The sequence below is a fragment of the Homo sapiens genome, chromosome 5, assembly GCF_000001405.40.
Source record: "Homo sapiens chromosome 5, GRCh38.p14 Primary Assembly".
NCBI lineage: Eukaryota > Metazoa > Chordata > Mammalia > Primates > Hominidae > Homo > Homo sapiens.
In genome coordinates, this window is record NC_000005.10 from 173972757 (window position 1) to 173974907 (window position 2151).

At 54.1% G+C, this 2151-nt stretch overlaps 1 annotated feature.

Moving 5' to 3' along the window:
- Positions 436-515: an enhancer, noted in NCBI's record as "active region_23673". NCBI's record gives its function as "activates an Ori minimal core promoter by ATAC-STARR-seq in GM12878 lymphoblastoid cells {active_cell/tissue: GM12878}" and the evidence as "EXISTENCE:reporter gene assay evidence [ECO:0000049][PMID:35858748]".

Sequence of the window (2151 nt, forward strand, 5' to 3'; positions counted from 1 at the left end):
TCCGGCTCCCCACTCCCCCCGAATCAGTCCCCTTTCCACTCTTGGGAACACAATGGAAGCTGCCAGAAGCTGTGGCAGAACTAGCGGAGGGTGAAGGAACAGCATTTCAGGCAGATGAGGTGGGTAGGCCCTTTCCTGACAGCCATCCCCGAGGTGTCCTCAGGGGACCATATGTCCCAGACCTGCTGCTGGCCAAATGGAATTCATGACTAGGAATATGCACCGTTTGGTTAACTGCGCTCCTGCAGCTGTTTGATGAGGGGTGGGGAGGGAGGAGCCAGTCACCTCTTTTGTGGGCTGAAATTCCATCTCACGTCATGGATCCTGGGCTCCCAGGCTGCGCACCCCCAAGCCCGCCTGCCTCTCTCCGCTTGCGCCGCGGCTCACGGGGGTTGGAGACGCACCTTCTCCACGTGCCGTTTTCAAAAAGCTCAGGCAGGGAGTCGTGTTTTGAGTTGAGGCTACTCACTTCACTTCTTGGTAATAATAAAAATTGAGGGAGGCGGCGTCGGGGGAAAAAAAGGGTTTCCTTCTTAAAGGGGAAGGGGGGAGATGAAAAGGGACGACTTTATCCGGGAGCTGTGACTGCCACCTGGTGGACAATGTCAGCTGAGCAAGACAAAGGCTCCCCGCTTCCAATCAGCCCTTCCTGCATTCTTCACTCTTCTGGTCGACTGTCTCCCTCCGGGAGAAGCTCCGTGGAGGGGAAGAGAGAAACAACCATAACACAGTGTGACGGATGCTGTGATTGGCGCGGTCTCGAATAGGGGCTCAGGCTGTGGCAGCCAGAGCCACACAGCCTGGGTTTGAGTCCCTGCCCCGGGACTTCCCTGCCGTAACTTTGGCTGAGCGACTTAACCTCTCCTGTGCCTCCTCCTTCTTATCTGTAAAACGAGGCTCACGGCCCCTACCTCACAGAATTGGCAGTTCCTGTCTCCTAGGTCGTAAGGATGGAATAACGCACTCCATGTACATACCGAGCACGGGTCTGGCTCAGAGACAGGGCTCAGAAATTGGCTGGTAGCATGGAGAGAAGCCTGGAGCCACGGGAACCTCTGGATGGTGTCAGGTGCTCTGCGGCCCACGGGGGCGGGGGAAGGACTAGTGAGCAGAAACTCCTCCTCGCCTTATCAGGTGAGAGAGACAGGCATGAACACTTGAATGAACAGAAAAGGCACGTTCCGGCCCCATGGTCTCCTTGGGGAGGTAGACTTGTACACAGGTGATTATAATTTGTAATAAGCATATTCTGGGATGGGATGCAGTGCCATAGGAGCTTCCCCACCTCGGGAGTGGGCAGACTTTGGGGAAACAGTGGAGGTGGCGCACGCTGGTACTGAGGGTTGGCCCCTTGCTGCAGGTGAAGGAGATGCTGGAGATGATGTCTAAGTGTTGAGATAAGCCACAGTCCTCTCCCCCTCTTACCAGAACACTCGAGTCCCAAGAGGCTGGTGGTGGTGGTGGTGGTGGTAGGGGGGCAGGTGCTGATATGAGGCTGAGGTGGGGGAGGGTGACAATAAACAAGTACACAGTAAATAAGAGAATTTCAGAGCATGGTAGAGACAATGTGTGAGGGAAGGCGCAAGGACAGAGCTGCTTTGGAGAGAGGGGTCCAGGATGGCAGCTCCCAAGAGGGGCCTTTAGGCTGAGATCTGCACCGTGAGAAGGTGTAAGCTGGGTGCACCCTCACTTATCAGGCTCTCGTGTCATCCTGCTGGGCATCCTGTTAGCAGCCCCGCATGCTGACTCTCGTGGAGAACAGGGAAGGCCCCAGGTGACTGGGACAGTGAGACAGCTCTGTGACTGTTCCATATGGACAGGCCAAAACAGGGTTTTAAGGCACAGTAGCTTCAGTCTCCTCTGTTGCCTACATCTCCTCCTTCCCTGTTCTTCTGTCTAAGCGGAAGGAGTTAGTATCAGATTTGATGTCTCTCCTACCAAAATAAACACTAGATTTAAAAATATATATTTTATATTTATATAAATATATATTCAAAAGGACTGGAGAGCTACTGAGGTGGTAAGACCTTGAGGCCGGTTGTGCACAGGTCTGGGCAGAAGACAAGCACCACGGTGATGCAATATCCAGCATGACTTCTCCTCCAGACATTGGCTGATCGTGAGTGACAGCCTAGAGGCTAAGACGCTGAG